The 23,069-nt window shown below is 35.0% G+C and overlaps 1 annotated feature.

Moving 5' to 3' along the window:
• Positions 459–960: an enhancer, noted in NCBI's record as "NANOG hESC enhancer chr6:103553619-103554120 (GRCh37/hg19 assembly coordinates)". NCBI's record gives its function as "activates a minimal SCP1, AML or CMV promoter by ChIP-STARR-seq in primed H9 embryonic stem cells {active_cell/tissue: H9 hESC(primed)}" and the evidence as "EXISTENCE:reporter gene assay evidence [ECO:0000049][PMID:30033119]".

Raw genomic sequence — 23,069 nt, forward strand, 5'->3', positions numbered from 1 at the left:
AATGGGAAAGCACATGACTCTTCTTTCTTCTTTAGCCTCCCAGACCTCTGGGTAGTGCTTTCCACTGGTCAAGCATAACAGGTAGACAGCTTGGGGTGAAGAAATGTGGTTTGCCCACTGCTTTGGCATCATAAAGCAGAGTACAGCAGGGTGACTATGAAGCTAAGACCAAGGTTTAATAACTCTCTGTTTTTTCATAAATCGTTCTAGAATTTTCCTAAAGTTATTTCATTTCATATTAAACTGTGAGGCTAAAATATTTACATTGCGTGGGCATGTCTTTCTGCTGTGTTTTTATTTCTAAAGTAGTGCTATTTAACTTACACCGACAATAAGGACTCCTTCCTGCTCTTATCAAGAAATGTTAAAAAATCTAACTTTGATTTCTTGAGATTTACCTAGTCTGCTCCTCTCTCCACTCTCTATCTGGATATTCTCTTGTCTTGTCTTTAATGTCTCTGTCCTGCCCAATTTAAATTCTGTTCTTAGCAGTTTCTCATTGGTGCAGGTTTTGTCCTGGAAAAGGTGCTCTCAATTGGTAACAAGGCCCAGCCTACCTCTCACTGAAGTTGCCTTTAAGCTCTAAACTGGGAATCTCACCTTCCATTGTGAAGCACTCTCCCAGCTTCGTCTGCTCTTCTCACATTGACAAACTAAGCTTTCCATGCAGAATAAAGACCTCTCAATATGGGGGCGATTATGTGTTAGTGATTCAATTTCCACATTCCCTGGCTTTCAGGGCCTTCACAAATCTCCCTGCTTTCTGCTTCTTAATCTGGGTGATAATTTTGTGCTCTTTTCACTTTGGGTAAATTAATCAAGTTGTACAATTTTGTGTGTATATGATGTTATACTTCCATCAAAAACAGCAAAATCGTTTGCGAAATTTTTAGCCAAAGCAACCACTAAAATAGTGGCCTCTTTGAAAGAGGAAAGGAAGGGATAATAAGAAAGAAAACAGAGCAGATATCTTTGAGGTGATAATAAGGTTACAGACTTAAAATGTTCAGTACACAGTTTGAAATATGAGACAGAACCAAAGAAAGTTATATATTTAAGGCATGTTAGCATTGAGGTGATAATTGAAATCGGGAGGTGGGAGCAGGGAAGAGATTCTAGAAGTGAAATATATTAGGAATACAGTGATCATCCTTCAAAATTGTTCTAAACTTTTTAATAAAAAAAAATCCTACCTTCCACTTTCTATACCATATATTCCAGGAAATGAAGTTGTGTTGCACAGAAACACAGAAATGACATGCGTGTGCATGCACACACACAAATATACATGTGCAAATGCATACACAATATACATATGTATGTCTGTATAGGTACATATTGTCAATTAAATTTTCAACTATCTTCAGAGTGATATAATTCATGCTGCTAAAGTGGATTGACATAGACTCCTCAAAATACAAAGATTCTTTGTTTTTGTTGACATAATTTCCTGATGAGTAATTGTTTTACAAATCAGGTGTTTTGAAAAATTTAAATTAGCCTTTGGACTCTTAAAATTCTTAATTCCAAGACTTCGTGTCAAACTTTTATTGAGAAAATGAAATCATGCAGAGATGTTTTCCAGCATCTGAGAGCTGGTTAGTGACTCCTAACAAGCTACAGCTAAGATATCCATCTCCCATCCAGTTCTGTCCCTACGATCCTGCCTCTTCTAAAATTGAATGTAAAGTCAGTGAAAAGACAATGTACTATTTATTAATTATAGTGTCCTTTTTTTCTCTTTCATGAATATTACATTTTCATAGTGCATATATTGTAAATTTTTAAAAAAACGTTCTAAAAGATAAGTTACCTTTTCATGGGTACATTTTTAACAACTGAGGAAAAAAAGTAAGAGATGGAAAATTGTCCTTTTTGTCTGTGATCATGAATTATTGAATCATGAAACCAGTGACTGCTATTAATCCCTTGAAAAACATTCTCTGTTTCAGTTTGCAAGATGCTGTCCTCTATTTCTTTGTTACATGCCAGAAACAGAGCAACATCTGATTTGTAAGCAACATTCAAGTTTCATTGAGCTGTGAATATTATTAATAATACTGGTAGGCACACGCCTGCCGAGAATAGAAGCAGATCTTCCAAAATGTAAGCAATGAATACAATCATAACAGACAATTGTGTTATGCATTAATTTTTGAAATGATTAGGAACAACTTTCCAAAGATCTTATTTCTGAAATTATTGATACCAAAAGACAAGACAGTCCACAAATATTCCCTATTATTATGTAATAATATAATACATTTATATATTATATATATTAGAAATGGGAAAGCACGTGTCTATGCACTTTGTCTATGTCTATGTAAATCATTGCAAATATCATACAAACTTGTTTGATATTTATTTAAACAGGCACAGACAAAGCACACAGACACAACTGTCTGTTATGATTGTATTCATTGCTTATGTTTTGGAAGATCTGCTTCTATTCTTGACAGGTTAGTGCTTACCAGTATTACTTATAATATTCACAGCTCAATTAAACTTGAATGTTGTTTACAAATCAGATGTTGCTCTGTTTCCGGCATGTAACTATGGTTAATTTACATTAATCATGGTTCAAAACTTTATTTGCAAAAAAGAAAGGAGCTCAAATTTGTGTGATATTTGCAATGATTTAAATATAATTTAGAAAATGACTAGTACAGAAAATGAAATCAAGGGATTGAAAAATTTAAATATTCCTAAAATATAACTACCTCACTGAAAGTGCTTGGTAATGTTTATAAGTCCTTTACTTCTCTTTTAATGATTCTTAACATTTTGTTTCAAGAAAGAGATATCATTATCTATGTTGCCAACATTTTATTTAAGTAGAGACCAACCTCCTACTGTCCACAGCTGTTTTTAATTCACAAGCAGTTGGAACAAGTCAAGCCTTGCTTGTGAGTCTTTTCTGCTTCTTATTATCTTATTTCATGTGGGAAGCCATTATGCAAACCAAAAGCATCTGAAGTTAGGTACCCCACTTAAGAGAGTTCAGCAGGGATTCAGTTTTTGTAATTTTTGGCAAATTGTGTCATTAAGTTGCATATGTTGTACTGTTGGTAACCATGATTGCTTGGGTTAGTTGATGTGCTCATGAACTCTGTGACTTGACAAACCTAATTTTCCTACAATCAAGTCAGAAATAAATTTCCAAATATGTCTAAAATGATAAAGCTTGTTTTTTAAAATCAATTGATTATATCTTATTGAATTTAGAAAAATATCATATGAAAATGCCAATTGCTATATTAATTCTAGTTAACAGGTTGTCTCCAGTAAATAAGTTAGTTTGTACACAGTCCGACTCCAGGCGGGAAACCTAGAAAACCTAAGTTTCCTAAATTGTACTAGAATTATTATATTAATCCTGACCCATTAGATTTTAAGAAGGGATACTGAAAAATAATTGGAGTAAATATAATTTTGCAGAAGCACTCACTTCACTTAGATTAGATTACACTTCATTGTTTAACCCTTTATAGTTCCCAGAACTTAACTCAATATAAGATTTACCTTTAAGCTCATTTTGATGCACATGACCAAGATATTCTTTATTTTTTGTTCTATTTTGAAGTTTACGTGAAATAAATATCTAAATACATTAATGTGAGAAATAAAATGTGTGGTACATTTCAAATGTAGTCTTATCTCATGTATTGATCATTTCTGTATTCATTTTCATCATTACAATAATGAAAGTTTTAAATATGATCTTGATGTCTGGTAAAATATTAACAGCTTTTTATTTTATATCATATTTAAGTCTCACAACAGCTTTGTGAAGTATTATTACTATCTTCATCCTACTTCTGAGGAAACTGAGGCTCAGACAGGCAAAGTAAACAGCTTTAGAGTACACAGCTGGTGAAGTAAAGGCTGCTGTTCAAAGACAGAGTAACCTTATTAAAAACCAAAATATCGGCCAGGTGTGTTGGCTCACACCTGTAATCCCAGCACTTTGGGAGACTGAGGCAGGCAGATCACCTAAGGTCAGGAGTTTGAGACCAGCCTGGCCAAGATGACAAAACTCCGTCTCTACTAAAAATACAAAAGTTAGCTGGGTGTGGCGGGGCATGCCTGTAATCCCAGCTAGTCGGGAGACTGAGGTAGGAGAATCACTTGAACCCAGGAGGCAGAGGTTGCAATGAGCCAAGATGGTGCCACTGCACTCCAGCCTGGGAGACAGAGCGACACTCCATCTCAAAAACAAAACAAAACAAAAACCCCAAATATTTTGTACCTCTTGCTCTTATATTGCTTAGCAAAAATCTAAATAGCATAAACAATAAAACCATGTATTTATTGAGCAATTGATAGAAAAACAACACATTTTTCAAAAATGAATGTTTAACCACTGACAAAAGTCAGGTACACTACATGGTACTCACAATTCCCATCTTTTCTTTTTTAAAGTGTCATAAAATAGGTTACATTTTTCAGAGACAAAATGTTGTCTCTTGTATCACTTTATTATTTGTGATATTTAAGTTCTTGGTCAAGATGTGATTACAACTTATAGCACTTTTACAATTAGGTGCAACTGTACTTAACAGAAAATCACAAATGACATGGACTCACGCAACAGAAAATATCTCATGTAAATCAGTACTAAACTACACACTGCAGCATTAGTACAGCAGTTGCAGTCTAGATGGACTTATCATCTAACTGCTTTGCAGTCTTCAGAGTGCTCTTCATAATCTGATATGGCAATTCTAGTTGTACTCCTCACACATATATTTCATTCAGTAGGAATGTGTTCAGACCAAAGAAGAGTATGAATCTTTATATAAGGGCATTTCTTACAAATAAGCATGAAACTTCCGCATGCAACTCCCATAACCCATGAACATGAGTTTAAGTAGCTGCAAGGGAAGCTGGGGAGTTGTACTGTTTATTTGAGACAACTATGTGTTCAGCTAAAAATCTTGTGTTCTATTATTAAAGAAAAAGGAAACAATGGATATTTAAGTTCACAACTAGTTGGCTTTTTTAAAAGCAAACTTTAACTAATATAAAGTTTTCCATTTAAAAATGTGATTTCAGGTTTCATTTAATATATTTATATTTCAACCTGCCACAGTGTAGCCAATGAAATTATTACAGAAACTTAGTTCTGAAAATTAATGTCCCTGCCACTATAAGAACTCTAAATTTTCTGATATAAAGATCAAATGTAATACAAATATAAGTTTGTTAGGTGATTATTCAATACCTTTGCTATCTTTTTCTTGACTGCCTATGCAGTGTGTCATGATTATTTGTTTACATATAATATTTTACTTGAACCACATTATCAATGTTTCTACCCAATTTGCATCAGAGAAAGAGGATGTTTTACATAATCTCATACCACTAGCATAAATTTATATACTAAAGAGAAAGCCATTTGTAGCTAAAATGGTTTATTTTGTACTGTATTACAAGACAGAAAAGCAAAAATGTGTCAATAGCTTCTAAAATTTACTGAAAAGGTCTAACGTAACAAGGGTTAAAAAGTTTGTCTTGCAGATCTGTGTTTGTATTTACTTCTTACATAATCTACAAGAAATGCAGACTTGGCTCTTCTGAGGTAAGACTCAACTAGAGTTGAACAATCCATTTACCCCATCACAGGACTGGAGCCCATCTTCCCTTCATGGAGTCTGCCAGTTGGAACTTCATTTATTTATGTCTGAACTTCTGTTCCAGGTCATGATGCTCAGAGAATCAAGAGGCAAAATTATATCTTCATGGTAGAGAAATTCATTCCAGAGAGCAAGAGAGCAAGGTTTCAGTCTGAACACAACAGACTGAAAAATATTGAAAGGAGTACAGGCAGAAGGAAAGAGGAGTTGAAGGATCCTCATTAGTCAGAATGATTGGGATCATTAGAGGTAGTTCGTTCATGCAGAGCACCTCCTATCTTCAACCAGATGATTGTAATATGGCGATGTCTGCTTTCTACAATACAAGGCAGTCTCAATCTAAAGAGAGTTACAACGTTTCTGTCTGTCACACTGTACTAAACACTTAAAATCTACCTAACACTCGAGTTAAAAAAAATCAAGTATTCTCATTATAGATTTGTTGGTTTAGTCTGGCAGAGGCTAGTAAGATAGGGTAGACTTGGTGACACTGCCATTAAGTGCTGGAATGATATGGACTCCAGATGAGGCTAAATATATAATGTCCTTCTTCCTCTTCTCTGGAGTCATCAGCAGAAGACCATCACCAACACTATCAACGACAAGAAGAGAGGATCAGGAAAACTTCCTTAGTGAAATTGCAGTTCAGTGAGAATCACTGATGTGTTTTCAGAATGGTTTTTAGGGAAAACCATTAAAAAAAATTGTTCTAAAAAACCTGGTTGCATACAACTAATTTTACAATTTCTAAGTCAGCCTTGCCTGCTAATCATTGGTTTCTGTAAGGCCAGACCCTCTACGATGTTATAGTCTTGGCACAGCCACTCTTTGCCAAGATAAATATTCATAATCCAAGATAAATACTGGTGATTCTGCTTGTTAGTTGGTGTCTCATCAATGCTCTTGCTAAACTGTAGCTTAATAGGGAATCATTTGTTCCCAAGAATTTATAAGCAATCTCAAAAGTGGCATTTTTACTGCCGTTTTATATGGTATAGTCCTGGCACTAGTAGTGAACTTCTTTCAGAGAATTATGTTGTGCAGAAAGATACTTTGAGGTGATATATAGTAATGCTATATTATTCCTTACACAGAGGTACATTGGGGACTCCAAGGAGTCTAATTATCTTACACTTGGAACCTCTATATGTATGTGTGTGCATTTGTATATGCATATGTGTGTGTAACATGTATACAGAAGATATAGATATATTCAGGTGACTAGATTAACCATTGCCCAGGCATGGCTCTTTAATCTTCTGCTGAATATATAATCTGAACCATGCTCAATTACATGTCTCCCATTTCATTTCCCATTATGAATCAAAATAATTTAAAATATATTACTATTCAAATAAATATTTTAAGGTCCAGTCCAAGTTTTTCTCATTTACAACTTCTCTTATTTAAGAAAAGTACTCCAATTGCAGACACAAATATATTAGAGGTATTAATTCACCAATGTAGTCATCTTTTTCTTGATTGTTAGTCTCCAATAACTATTAGTTTTTTATTATTTAGCTGTTTATTTATTTTTAAGACTGTCTAATCCTTTAGAAACTTCTTTCTTTTGTTCTCTTTTTGCTCTCAAAATATTTTGTATTTTTTCATATCATCTCATTCATGATTTCTACCTTTTCCTACTGACTATTGCAACGTGTAGACATTTGTACTTAATCCTCCTGCCTGAAATTCGATATTCACCTTTTAGATGTTTTCTCATATTTATTGTTTTACATTATTTATCAATAATCATAGCCTTTTTTCTGAGTTTCAGAACACTTTAAGATATTATCCCTGGCAGTTCCTGTTGACACTTAAAACTGTCAAGCAGCAATGTCCAATAGAAATTTCCATATAGGTGGAAATAGTATGTGTTTGTGTGGTTCAATATGGCACCCATTAGCAGAATTTCGATACTAAGCACTTGAAATGTGCTAGTGTGACTGAGAAACTAAAGTTTTAGTTTTATTTTATTTAAATTTAAGTAGCCAGATGTAGCAAATAGCGATTTTATTGGACTGTGCAGCTCTAATCTTCTATTTTCTTTCTCTTGAATTACTATTGCCATTAATGGCACACATGTTAATTATGTGAATGAATGAAAATACTCTGCATTAGCTATATGTGTAATAATGCATGAACCACAAACCTCAGTTGGCAGCTCTATTCTACTTCTTTATATTCAGAATATGATCAAGTCTCGTGTTTATGATCTCCTTTTCCTTTTTTTCATTTTACCAACTTTCCGGCTCTTATTTTCTTTTACAACCATCTAAAATTGTTATAATTATTTATTTATTAGAGAGGAGCATACACTTAAAAACTAATACATGAAATAACTTCAACAAAATAATTTATTTCTGCAGATCTGTATTCATGCAATTCACAAGAGCAGAGGCCCCTTGAATATTCAGCACTGTGTCTTCAAAGTCTGTCAAGAATGGTGCTAAAACTACAATAGATAATATAGTTATTGAAATAATAAATAAGTGAATAATTTAAGAGTGATATAAACCACCCTTGTTGTAGGTTTCAATGTGAAATATTCACTTTTGGCTTTGCTTCTTGTGTGATGTACATCCCCCTCTCCCTCTACTCTTGATGAGTTTAAAAGATGTTCAGCTATTGCACTGCCTGCAGTTATTAAGGTCTTAAGGCTTGTTTGGACTTGATTTTGGACACCTCTATATTTTGAAAGGCATGACTAATCATCTGTAAAGTATAACACACAGAGGAAACCTATGTTCTAACAAAGTTCTCTCTCTCTAAAAAATGGTAATTTTATGGTAATACTAAGTTCACTATTTATTAGTCATTACGGACCAATCATTCTACTCCTATTGTTGTGCTACTTCATTCAGTGACTTTGTAGTTTTCACCTGATGAATCTTTGTTCAATATCACATAGCATATTAAATGGAATATCTAAGGTCTTGGCATATGTCTCTATGACCACAAAGCCTGAGATAACCTCCGATTTTTGAAATAAGTTTTTGCATCTTAAAATGGGTGGGATTCATGAAAGTAGAGTTTGTTAGGTAGAAGTTATTAAGAATTGCAGCTCATGTGATGAGAATGACCTCAAGGGGGTGACTATTTTACTCTCTGGTGTTCTCTAGCTTCCTGGGGCTAGAAGAGAAGACACTGAATACCAGCAATTGACATGATGATCTTTGTTTCTAAAGGCACCACTAATAGGCAGTTTGTAATTCAGTCCTATATTCTTCTATAACAGTAACTATTATCCCATACAACTATCTTGAAAATATGAGTGTGTTATTATACACCTCTTATTCCTTTATAAGAAAGCAATAAGGAATAGAAAGTTACAGGATGAAAAGATACATTGAACATAGATATCTAATACACTTTATCTGTTTTCTTGTATGTATGCATGTGTGTATACCTGTGTATGGGGGAGAATATCAATGTTTTCAAGAATATCTAAACAAAGCAATTAACAGCATTAAAAAATTGAATCATTGATTTTTAAAAAATCAAGATATGGAGTACATAATTTAGGCAATTCTTTTTGACATTTTCCTATTAAATTAAATTTTTATTTTAAAATTAAATTCATAAACCATAATTCAGGATTTTTGATATGGTTCAGAATATTTAAATTACTTTATATTAATATTTAACTTTTCTATCCTCTTAGTAATATCAGAAAAACCACACAAGGAATAAGAAGTGTAATCTACACGAAAGCATTTCCAAGTAAATTGTAAAATGTGTGTATAGGCATGTGTGTGTGTGCATATGCAAGTGTGTGGGTGTGTTTGCTAGAGTACATTTTATGAGGGCATTTACAGACATAATCATGAGCAAATGTGGGTTTTTTTTATAGCCAAGGCAAATGAAGCATGCCTTCAATTAGAAACTTCTGAAAATACACTGTGATAACCTACTGAGAATGGAATTGCTTTTCTTCACAGCATCACACCCACCTCTTTTTAGAAGCCCATAGCATAGAGTATAAGTGTTGTAAGTGCAATATGCTCTCCTTGAATCATTTTAGTTCATTTAAATGCATTTAGTATTTCAATACCATTCCAAGATTATACATCTGATATCTCAAAAATATGCACATGCTGCTGTTAGTGTTCAGTATGTGGAATAAGTGAACCTCAACAGTATTAGAACCCATGTGTTATGTAAATGAGCATGTGAAACTTCAGATTATTAAGGCTTTTCTAAAACACCTGAAACATTGAAATCCCCAATTCCCTAATGTGTGATTATTCTGTTTTCAGCAGTTAAAGTTTAATTTTCTACTTCCTTAAGCAAAAAGTGAGAAAAAGCCATTCCATACCTTATGTTAAAAGCAAAATAAACATATTCCCAAGAAAGAATGAGGCAAAGGTGTACCTGTATTTTAGGAATTGTTAGGAAACAAAATCAATACCAAACCTTTACACTTAAACTCCTCCTTTTGGTGCTACAGTAAATGGTATTTTAGAAAATTTTCAATATTCAATCTTTCATTATTAGCACATAGATATAAAATTGATTTTTTACATATTGATTTTGTATACTCCAACCTTACCAAGCTCATTTATTGGTTCTAGTGCTTTTCTGTTGTCTGACAGACTTACAGCAGTCTACTCCCATTTTCTCTCTCCCATTTTTGTTGTACATTTAATATTTATGTATATTACAAACTCACAATCTATTGCTACTACCTTTGTTTTAGACAATCGGTATTATATGCTTTGGATGTTTGTTCCCTCCAAATCTCATGTTGAAATGTGATCCCCAAAATTAGAGATGGGCCTGGTGGGAGGTGTTTGAGTCATAGGGGGGCATCCCTCATGAATATCTTGGCGCTGTCCTCACAGCAGTGATTAAGTTCTGATTCTATTAGTTCACGCAAGAGTTGATTGTTTAAAAGTGATGGTTGTTTCACCTCTTGCTCTCTCTTGCTTGCTCCCACTTCGCCGTGTGACATGCCTGCTCCCCCTTTGCCGTCTGCCATGAGTGAAAGCTTCCTGAGACTTCACCAGAAGCTAAGCAGATGCCAGCACCATGCTTCCTCTATAGTCTACAGAATTGTGAGCCAAATAATCCTCTCTTATTTATAAATTACTCAGAGTCATGTATTATTTTATAGCAACACAAATAGACTAATACATTTATCTTTTAGTGTGATTAAAGATAAGAGAAAAATAAAATTGACATTTTCCTTTATTCCATTTCTAGCTTTTTATTTCCTTTTGTAGATGCCTGTTTCTCATTTATATCATATTTCTTCTTCCTGAAGACTTTTCTTTAACATGTATTGAGATGTAGGTCTATTGTCAGTGATTCTTCTCAATGTTTGATTACTTGAGAGAGTCTTTATTTTCTCTTTATTCTTGAAATATGTGTGTGTTGAGTAGAGAATAGTAATTTCAGTTTTATTTTTTGTTTTTGTTCCTTTTTTCACTTGTTTCTTTAAGCGTGTTAATAGTTCAGGAATTAAGTGGTGGCAATGACAGTGGCACTGCTCATTATCACCCCATTCACCGACAAGCAAAATGTTTGCTTCCTGTTTTTATGACTTTATGATCTATTGGCCTAAGAGTAGGCTTCAGGAGGAGTGCTTTTACTGAGAGACACACAATGATTTGATTGAATTGGAGGTTAAAACTTCCACCTGACCACTTTGGGATCCTCATGCCTCTGAATCAACAGGCAAAGAAGTGAGTTATGGTGTTGACTGGAGCGATTGATCTTAACTACCAAACATTAATTAAACTATTACTCCACAATGAAGGTAAGGAAGAATATGCCTGAATACAGGATATCCTTTAAGATGTGTCTTAATGTTACCATTCCCTGTGATTAAAGTCAAGGAAAAACTACAGTAGCCAGGCAGGACTACTAAAGGCCCAGACCCTTCAGGCATGAAGGTTTGTGCCACCTTGCCAGGTAAAGAACCATGACAGCTGAGGGGCTTGCAAAAGGCAAGGGGAATACAAAATGGCTGATACAAGAGGCAATTAGTGCATTTTCAGTTCTATGCAGGATAGTTGTATCCAGTTAGGTCAAATTATGACCATGTTATTATTTATATTTGAAAATTAAGTATGGTTTAAGGAGATGCATATAGGTGCCAAAATGACATGAGATGAACTTGTGATGGTTAATGTATAGTGTCAACATGACTGGGCTAAGGGATGCCCAGGTAGCTGACCACACATTATTTTGGGGTATATCTGTGAAGGTATTTCTGGTAGATATTAGCATTTGAATTGGTACACTGACTATAGAAAATTACCCTTATCAATGTGAATGGGCATCATCCAATTCACTGAGGGCCCAAACAGAACAAGAGGTGGAGAAAGGGCAAATTTGCTTGAGCTGGGAGATTCATCTTCTCCCGCCCTCAGACATCATCTCTCCTGATTCTTGGGCCTCTAGGCTTGGCCTAGAAATATACCACTGTCTTTAATGCCCCCAGCTTGCAGAGGGCAGATAGTGGGAGTTTTTAACCTTATACCCAAGAGGCCAATCCCTCAGAATACATCTTTTTCCATTTATCTACACATATATCCTACTAGTTCTGTTTCTCTGAAGAACCCTGGTTAATACAAGTAGAGGATATTGGTTTGGCAGTTTTGCTATTTTTTTTTTCTTTCATCACCTTAAAAATGTCACTCCCTCTTGTTCTGGTTTGGATAATTTCTGATCAAAAGTCCACCTTATTTCTTCCATTTGTTCACCTGTATGTAATGAATATATTTTTGTCTGGCCACAATGAAGTCTTTCTCTTTGTCTTCCATTTAAGGCGGTTTTAATATAATATGACTCTCTCTTTCTCTCCCTCTCTCTCTCTGTCTCTGTGTGTGTGTGTGTGTGTGTGTGTGTGTGTGTGTGTGTGTATTTGTGCTTGTTTTTGACATTCTGTTTGATATTTTCTGAGTTTCTTAATAGGAGTCTGTCATTAATTTAGGGGAAAAGTTGACACTACTTTTTCAAATATTTCACTACCCCGTTCTGTCTGTCGTCTTTTAGCATTCCAAACTACACAGATGTTAGACCTGTCTCTCTGTTCTTAGATACTCTGTTTTTTTCTTTTTTTCCTCCTATTTTTTTCTTTCTTGTTTTGATGAAATTTTGTTCTTAAGACAGTCACTCTGTCTCTGTGTTTTGTGGGCAAGTTAAGGTTTACACCAAGACTTATTTCTTCTATCTTAATTTTCCCCAGAAACCATATGTTTTCACAAATATTCTAAGAGTACCAGCATTGGTTGCTCTTCCACAAGTGATTTAAGGTTTTTCTTCCATATGAGAGACAGTAGGAAGTATCCAGGCAGGGTTCCTTGTGTTTTTGTTCGGTGGCTTCTGTCCCATCCTTCCAGGCCTGGGCAACCAGGTATGTTTCTCAATGCTTTCACCTTGCTCCCAATCTTTATAGGAGCACACATTATGTCCATGTGAATGAGCCCATAAGTGGATGCTAATACCCTTTGTGCCTGTGCCTCCCAGTGATTCCATATTTTCTTACTAGACATGGCCTTTGGCAATATGTTAATATTTTAAGCTGAATTATTTTAACCAGGGGCCAATGTTATCTGCTTCAGATAAATAAGTGCTCAGATAATTCATAGCTCTGTGACCTCAACCCTCTTACAGATTTAAGAAAACTTGTGAATTTTCAGACAGTTTATAGGATTTGTAGCTCTGAGAGTAGAAGTGATACTATTTTTGGCTTTCCATATTATAATCATAAGCCAAAATTCATATGAAAAATCATGTGTATTTTCATGAAAATGAGACAGTGATCAACATTACCAAAATGAAAAGAAAACATATTTTGGCACTAAAGCTAAAAGGTATTGGAATCTGCATATTGGACTTTTCTACTTAATCAGTATAGATGGTGGGATGGGTAAGTTTATGTGTTAACTTGACTAGCCTAAGGGATGTCCAGATAGATGGTAAAAAATATTTTTAGATGTGTCCATGAGAGTGTTTTTAGAAAAGATTAACATTTAACTGATAGACTGAGTAGAGAAGATCACACTCACCAATGTGTTTGAGCATCATCCAATCTGTTGAGGACCTGAAAAAGCATAAAACAGCAGAGGAAGGGCAAATTCTCTTTCTCTCTCTGTTTTGAGCTAGGACATCCAACTTTTTCTGCCCTCAGACATCAGAATTCTTCGTTCTCAGACTTTTAGACTCTGAGATTGACACCACTGTGCTTTCCAAGCCCCCAGGACTAGCATTTGGCCCTGGGCTCAGATACCACTGCCCTCTCCAACCCCCAGGACTGGCCTTTGGCCCTAGGCTGAGAATTACACTGTTGGCTCCTCTGGTTCTTAGGCCTTAGGACTCAGACTGAATTACACAATCGCTTTCCCGGTTATCCTACTTGTAGATAGCATATTGTGGGACTTCTCCTCCTTCACAATCACATGAGCCAGTTCTAATAATAAATCTTATCTGATATATCTGTCCATATATTATTGGTTCTGTTTCTCTGGAGAACCCAGGCTAATACAGATGGCAATATGTAATTATGTGATAAATAACATTTTGACATCAGCTTGGATTCTTAAAATATTTTATTTTCCACTTAATAAAATTCAGTTACCTTTTTGGCTTGCTTTCATTTTGCTTAATAATTGCTATTTCATATGTTATTGTTATTCTTAAATTAAAATTATTATTTTTAGTCTTGGTCATTTCTCACTCAAGTTTCAATTGCAGAAGTTATGCCTGTGGCCACCTTTCTCAAATTAATACAGTAATTGTCACTGAGATATTTTCCTTCCTTCTTAGGGATCTATATTTGATTGGTCTACATATTCTAGATCTTACATACTTTAGCTTTAGTGCCAAAATATATTTTATTTTCATTTTGGTAATGTTCATTACTGTCTCATTTTCATGACAATTCACATGAGATTGTCAAATTTAAACTGGCATTCTGTGTCATAACAAAGTTCAGATTTTAAACAAAATTCATTTTGATTATATAGTCTCTTCCCAACTTGACTTTTAGCATAACAGAATCAAGAATAACATTTAGATGTCAGTACGTTTAAATAATATTATAAACGATCTTAAGTTCTTTAATTGACAGAATAAAGCGAATAACAAAATTATACCTATAATGAGATATTGTTTTTTAAAAAACTTGGAGTTGAAAATATTATCTATTTAGTTATTTTATAAAATTCCTTAAAATTCCTAATAATTACTATTAGGTGATCTACATGTATTATGTTGTCAGTGAGCTGAGGACAATGACTTCCATTCTATACAAGGCCTATCCTAAACTAATCTAATGCTTAGTACTATAAGACACCTGAAATTTAATATTCATTAAAATTTCAATATATTTAAAACTATTTAACATATTTTTTCTATTTTTTGTATTCTTAACACACTTTGTGCCATAGGTAATAAATATACTTCATACTTGTGAATATATAACAAAATGCTACTTGATTCATTATTTATGGATTCATTGATCATAAGTTATAGTGTCACTTTAAAAAATATGTATATATACACACACACTGTGGGTTTTTTTGTTTTGATGATCAGAGCTCACTGCAGCCTCAAACTCCCGGGCTCAAAGGATCCTCCCATTTCAGCATCCCAAGTAGCTAGGACTATAGGCACATGCCACCACATGCCTGGCTAACGGTTTTATTTTTTGTAGAAACAGGATCTCACTATGTTGTCTAGGCTGGTCTTGAACTCCTGACTTCAAGTGGTCTTTCTGCTATGTTGAGGTCATGTTAAATGCTTCTGTTGTTATATACTATTTATTATTTCTGATTATGGTTTGTGTTTATCATATTAATTGATCTCTTTATCAGTGGAGCTATAGCTTCAATAAATTTAATAATTTTATATCAATGCATAATTCCAGTGTGCCTATGTATTACCCAAGATTTTGTCTTGCCTTAAACTTTTTTTGAAACTTTTACTTTTGATATAATTTTACACTTGCAATTTGGAGGAATATACAAAGAACTTTATATTCTTCCTCATATTTATCTACTGTTGCCATTTTTCTTATTTATTACTTCCTCACTCAGATTCTTTTACTCCATATACATACATAGTTTAATTTCTTGTTTTTGCTAAATAATTTGTGAGTAATTTGACATTGTAACACTTTATTTAAGTACTTCCATTACTAACTAATCATCAACTTATATTCAAATATTGTTCATTGTTTTAATAATATTCTCCATAGCTTTTAAAATTTCTGGTCCATGATTTAAACCAGAAATATATATTACAGTTACTCATCAAGAGTTTTAACATGGGAGGTCATGGTGGCTCACGACTGTTTTCCCAGCACTTTGGGAAGCCAAGGTGGGTGGATCACCTGAGGTCAAGGATTTGAGACATGCCTGGCCAACATGGAAAAACCCTGTCTCTACTAAAAATACCAAAAAAAAAAAAAAATTAGCCAGGTGGGCTGACATGTGCCTGTAATCCCAGCTACTTGGGAGACTGAGGCACAAGAATGCTTGAGCCCTGGAGGCCGAGGTTGCCGTGAGCCGAGATCGCCCACTGCACTCCAACCTGGGCAAAAGAGTGAGGCTCCGTCTCAAAAAAAAAAAAAAAAAAAAGCGTCTTAATGTTTTCTTTATTTAGAAATGGTTTCTCAGCCCCTATTTGACATTCATGATCTTTATAGTTTTGAGGAGCTCACGCAAGGTAGTGTTTTAATGTTGCAATATTTATTATTATATGTTTTTGTATTAATAATGTTTCTTTCAGATTTTAAATATTTTATAAGCCTTTAGAAAGCACCTAGACATCAGATATTATGCCAGTAATGTTAAATGTATTTAAAACAAAAATCCTAGGGAAAATACCAAGCTTATTTATTCATTAGGTAAACAAATCCTTAACACATGACTATATCACTTTAATTTTCATAAAAAGTTTTATTCTCCTGTTTTAAGTATAATTGTCTTAAGTGTTTCTTCTACCTACATTGAGCACTACATCAGATGATGTAATAATTTTTGCTTCAACCATCAAATGTGATATAAAAAAAACTCATGAGATGAAGGATATTTTGTTGTTCTTTCATTTTTTAACCCATCTTATTCTTTTCTTTTCTGAAGTTCCAAGCCTTCTTCTATCATTTCCTCTCTGTTAAGAGAAATCTTTCACCTATTCTTCAAGACAAGCTACGTTAAAGTAAGTTAACGCAGGAACAGAAAACCAAATATGGCAAGTTTTCACTTGTATGTGAGAGCTAAATAATGAGAACACAAGGACCCATAGAGGGGAACAACACACACTGGGGCCTATCAAAGGATGGAGGGTAGGGGGAGGGAAAGGGAGAAGGGAGCGGATCAGGAAAAATAACTAATGGGTACCAGGCTTACCATGAATGATGAAATAATCTGTACAACAAACCCCCATGAGACAAGTTTACCTATGCAACAAACTTGCACATGTACCCCTGAACTTAAAAGCTTTAAAAAAAGTTCCAATGAAGACCAGATCTGAAGAATCCCTGAGAAGGCAAAGCCAATTAGGTCACGCAAGTGACTTTAACCTTGCTTGATTTGCAAGTTATTTCTTGTAAATACCTATATTAAAGAAAAACAGAACTTAAGCTTAAACAATCTGAAGCAGCCAACAAACATAATTAGACAACAAGGGATTTTCCAACAGCATAGGCCAAATAAGACAACTGTATAACCGTAACTAATCAAATAGTTTCTTTTCTTGACTTGTATGTTCATCCTATAAAAGCCTTCCCTTTGCATTTCCTCAGTGGAGCTCCCAAACTTTTGGTTTGGAGGTTTCCAGTTCATGAGTTATTGTTTACTCACATAAACTTTAAAACATTACTATGCCTCAGTTTCCCTTTTAACAGTTTGCTAGCAACAAACTGTTTTCCTTTAAGCCTATCTGTTTCCCTTTAGTTATTGATAGATTTCACCTGATACAGAGTTTATGGTTGGCTTGTCTTTTCTTTCAGTAATTGAAAATGTTATACCACTTCAATCTGGCTCAGCTTCCAGTTAGGCCTGGCAGACACTAGGGACAGGGAAAGGAGAAGCTGACAGTGCCAATCAGTTCCGCCTTCTACGTTGTTCCCTCCTGGATGCCGTATAGGTGTGGAGACTCTGTTTCCTTCTGATTCTAATGATAGGAACGGGTGCTGGGAGTGAAGTAGAGTGGTAACTAACCCTGCTTTGCCTCCCTCATTAAGTCTCATGGCTGTTGAGTGGCGGTGGGGCTTCAGCTGGCTCCTGGACTCGGTTCACACCATCTTGGGGGAAGAATTAGAGCGCCACCTGCTGCCCCTTTTGTCTGTAGGATGGAAAATTGGCTCACTGCAAAGTCCAGCCAGCACCAGACATTGGTGTGATTGGAACGCTGCCTCCTGTTTTCACAGTCCAGGAGCAGGTTTGAAGACGAATTCCTTGCTAGGCCTTGCTGAAACCACTGAGGGCATCAGGGGAGGGGCAGATGCAGGGGTGGGGTGCCATTTTACTGTTGGTGTTTGGTTGGAGTATGGTGAGTTTACTGCCCAAAACGTTTACTATTGTGAAGCCACATTTTTCCTGGTCCTTAAAATAGGGCAAACTAAAGATTTCATGCCCATTGATGGTTCAGGACAACCAAGCTTCTCCAGAGACCTGTCTGGGACAAGGAAGCATTTGAATACAGTCTGTGTTGTATGAGTGGCAGTGGGGTAGGGAAAAGGTCAGACAGGAGAAGAGCAGTTTGGTTTTCACCACAAAAAGCTTGTTGTCCACAGAGCAGTGGTGATGTTATGGTGTGGAAGTGTGGATGGGTAAACTACAAATTCAATACAAATGAGAAGGCAGAATGGAGATAAACATATTTGTCTCTTTCTCTGAGAGTTTTATGAGGTAAACACTGTATTATGTTTTTTTTTCAAAATCATTTCCTTTCATTATGTATAAATGTTCGCCTAAATATGAGACCATTAGAACACATTTGGCATCTTAGAAGGAATGGGAAAGATAGATAATATAAAATGAGCTACTAGGCAATACATTTAAGTGGTTTGTTTTTTACAAAACTGTCCCAAAAAGGAGACAAGGTGTCTGACAGCTAGTCTTTTAAGTGTCTTTCTCTACAAAACATATCTGAACATCCAAATATGGAAGAGAGGAAATTGGGTACCTCAAAATGACTCTTTTAAGAGCTTTTCTCTGGCTCCCAAAGAGATTTGTTTGTTTTCAGAAGATTTATTCTGTTATTATCACATCTGAAATGTGCTAGAAAGAAAGACTTTTGTTAGCTCAGAACAATAGTAAATCAGCTATCCTAAGTGCATTTCTGTCTTAAAGGTTTATTTTGTTTTGTTATAATTGAGATGAGTCAAGGAGACAATGGTATGGAAACACTTTTGATTCTGCATTGGGACAAAGGTCAGTAACTCAAGGCCCCAGTGTCCTTGGAGTAAAAACATTTTATAAATATCTATTGGTGGGAAATGCTGCTCTAGTGAGGATTACAGCACACCTCTAAGAGCCTGGTGGCTACCAAAATGTTAGAAAGAGCAAGTGTCTTAGGAAATACATTTTGTATTCTATTTTTTGAGTACACTGGACAAGCTAAATATAGAGTAGAAATTGCTGTTTAGCTGAGATAATCTGCTTAATGCATTCTGAGAGAGTTCGAATTTTTTTTTTTTTTTAACAGAATGACTGCCAACTTTTATTCTGCATTAGATGGAGTTTTTGTCAGGCACTCATCCACCTCACACAGTTATAAAGTATCAGGCTCTCAGGTTAATTTTTACCATTCCAAATATTTGTACAGAAAATCGTTATTGTAGATGAGCAGATTTCGACTCCCAACAGTATGACTTATGATTACATTGTGTTTGGTAAAATGCGTAACCTTACTTAGGCCCAGTTTTAAAAAATCTCATTTATAATTGTTACATCATTATTATGTATATTTATGAGGCACAATGTAATGTTTTACACATATGTAAATTGTGTAATTATCAAATCAAGGTAAGTAGTATATCCATCGCCTTAAATATTTATCATTTCTTTGTTGTGAGGACACTCAAAAACCTCTCTTCAGGCTATTTTGAAACATACGTTTTTATTAACTCTAGTCATCCTACCATGCAATACTAGAAATTATTCCCCCAACTAGCTCTTTAGCTGTTGACCATGTCCCTCTCCTCTCCCCATCTTCTTGTAACCACCATTCTACTCTACTTCTACAAGAACAACATTTTAGATTTGACATATAAGTGAGATCATGTAGAATTTATCTTTCAGTGGCCTATTTCAGTCAGCATAATGTTCTCCAGGTCCCTCTATATTGCTGAAAATCGCAGAATTTTTATTCTCTTTTATGGCAGAATAGTATTCCATTGTCTATATATACTACATTTTCTTTATCCATTCGTCCATTGATGAACATCTAATTTAACCATACATTGGCTACTGTGAATAGTGCTGCAATAAACAGGAGCGCAGACATCTCTTCAACATACTGATTTCATTTCCTTTGGATATACTCAGTAGTAGGATTGCTGGATCATATGATAGTTCTATCTTTAATGTTTTGAAGAATTTCCACACTGTTTTCCACAATGGCTGTACTAATTTACATTCCCAACAGTAGTATATAAGGACTGACTTTTCTCCACATTCTCACCATCATTTGTTATCTTTTAATTTTTTTATTGTAGCCATTCAGACTTGATGAAAGTGATATCTCATTGTAGTTTGATTTGCATTTTACAGTATTTTTGTCTACATTTTCTTTTGTTGCCCGTGCTTTTGAAGTTTTATCCAAAAAATCCTCACCTAGACTGATGTCATGGAGCTTTTGCCATATGCTTTCTTCCAGTGGTTATGTTGTTTGGGGTATTTACATCCTTAATCAACTTTGAGTTAATTTTGGTATATAGTGAGACATGAGAATCTAGTTTCATTCTTCTGCATGTGGATATCAAGTTTTCCAGCACCATATATTGAAGAGGATATCTTTTATCCATTATGTGTACTGGTACCTTTGTCAAAAATAAGTTGGCAGTAGATGTGTGGGTTTATTTCTGGGATTTCTATTCTATTTCATTGGTATATGTGTCTGTTTTAATGATAGTTCCATGCCTTTTTTCTTAATATGATTGTATTATGTTTTGACGTCAGGTAGTATAATCCCTCAAGTTTTATTGGTTTTGCTCAAGATTCCTTTGCATATATAGGGTCTTTTGTGATTCCATATAAATTTTAGTTTTTTTTTATATTTATGTGAAGAATGTCATTGATATTTTGATAGACATTGTATTGAATCTGTAAATTACTTTGGGTAGCATGAATATCTTAAATTTATTCTTAAAAATCTATAAACATATCTTTTCATTTTTGTGTCTTTTTTAATTTTTTCATTAATATTTTATAGTTTTCACTGTAAAAGTCTTTCACCTCTTTGTTATATTTATTCCTAGATATTTCATTTTTTGTAGCTCTTGTAAAAGGGACTGCTTTCTTGATTTTTTTCAGATAATTTGCTCTTGGCATTTAGAAATACTAGTGATTTTTGTTTCTCAATTTTTTATCCTTCAACTTTACTGAATGGGTTTCTTAGTTCTAATAAATTTTTGGTGGAGTCTTTGGGGTTTTCTGTATATAATATTAGGTCATCTGCAAACAGCAGTAACTTGACTTCCTCCTTTCTAATTTGGATGCCCTTTGTTCCTTTCTCTTGCCTGATTTTTCTGGCTAGGTTAGTCTTGTTTTAAAAAATCCACATAATAAAGGTAATATTGCCTATTCAACAGGGTACGTTTAATATAATGTTTACCTTTGAGATAAAATATAGTGTGTTCTCTATGAACAACACATATTGTTATATCTTTACTGTCATGAATGTCTAGGTGCCACAAGTATTTTGGAAATGAAAGACATATTATAGAAATTACATAACACAAATTCAGGAGATGCTGAGAAGTTTAAAGGCTGGAAGAGATACGTTAGAGAATCAGAGAAAAATAACTTTTCACCTGCAACTGTGGAATGGGTGAACAAGTCATCATTTACAGAAAATCCAATACGCCAATCTGGCTGGTGAAACAGACTACAAAATAAAAGCTCATGAAGCGATCTATGACAAATGGCCATTTCACCTACAAAACTACCGTCTTTATGGACCTCAACTGAGTAACTCAGAGACTGCTGTTAGTCAGCCAAGCTGGTAGTTGTTGAGACACGCTGGATGTGGAACAAAGGAGAAAGGGACAAGCTGAGACTCACTTCTGTCTATCACAAGGTCTGACCATGACAACTTTTCAAGAATAATGTCCTCTACTTTTCCTAAAACTTTCATATTTCACAGAACTTTCTCTTTTGGCCAACTCTAACTAGAATTCATTCACAAAAAGTGATTCAGGGAAATGTAATTATTTGCCTTACACATTATCCAAATATCTAGACAAAATTCAAATGTATAAACTGAGGATGATTAGGTAAAGAGAAAGAGGAATGAAATATTACATTATAAAAAATATCTGCTTCCTGACTTTGATCTATCCTATTTTCTATGTTTAATTGAGAACAGTTGGTATTTTCTACCTGATACTGTGTCCGGAATTTATTCCTTCCTGTGGGTTCTTGGTTTCGCTGACTTCAAGTATGAAACCCCAGACCCTCATGGTGAGTGTTACAGCTCTTAAAGATGGTGTGTCTGGAGTTTGTTCCTTCAGATGTTCAGATGTGTTTGGAGTTTCTTCCTTCTGGTGGGTTCCTGGTCTTGCTGACTTCAGGAGTGAAGCCATGGACCTTCACAGCGAGTGTTACAGCTTTTAAAGGTGGCACGTCCGGAGTTGTTTGTTCCTCCCAGTGGGTTCGTGGCCTTGCTGACTTCAGGAATGAAGCTGCAGGCCCTCACAGTGAGTGTTACAGCTCATAAAGGTAGTGTGGACCCAAAGAGTGAGCAGCAGGATTTACTAAGAAGTGTGAAAGAACAAAGCTTCCACCCTGTGGAAGGAGACCCAGGAGGTTGCCACTGCTGGCTCGGAGGCTAGCTTTTATGCCCTTATTTGGCCCTGCCCACATCCTGCTGATTGGTCCATTTTACAGAGCGCTGATTGGTCCATTTTACAGAGTGCTGATTGGTCCGTTTTTACAGAGTGCTGATTGGTGCATTTACAAACCTTTAGCTAAACACAGAGCACTGATTGGTGTGTTTACAATACTTTAGCTAGACAGAAAAGCTCCAAGTCCCCACACGACCCAGAAGCCCAGCTGACTTCATCTCTCAATATGAATCTTATTTATACCTATGTCATTCTTGATTTATTAAATTATAAACTTTGTCAAGGTAGAATACTTATCATTGCATTTAGCACGTTGGTTCCCACATAATAAGAACTCAGTAGCTATTTCTGAATTAGACATATAATCGTTATTAAGATTTAATTTTATCATTTTCAGGGTTTACATT

This window comes from Homo sapiens, chromosome 6 (assembly GCF_000001405.40).
Source record: "Homo sapiens chromosome 6, GRCh38.p14 Primary Assembly".
Classification (NCBI taxonomy): Eukaryota; Metazoa; Chordata; class Mammalia; order Primates; family Hominidae; genus Homo; species Homo sapiens.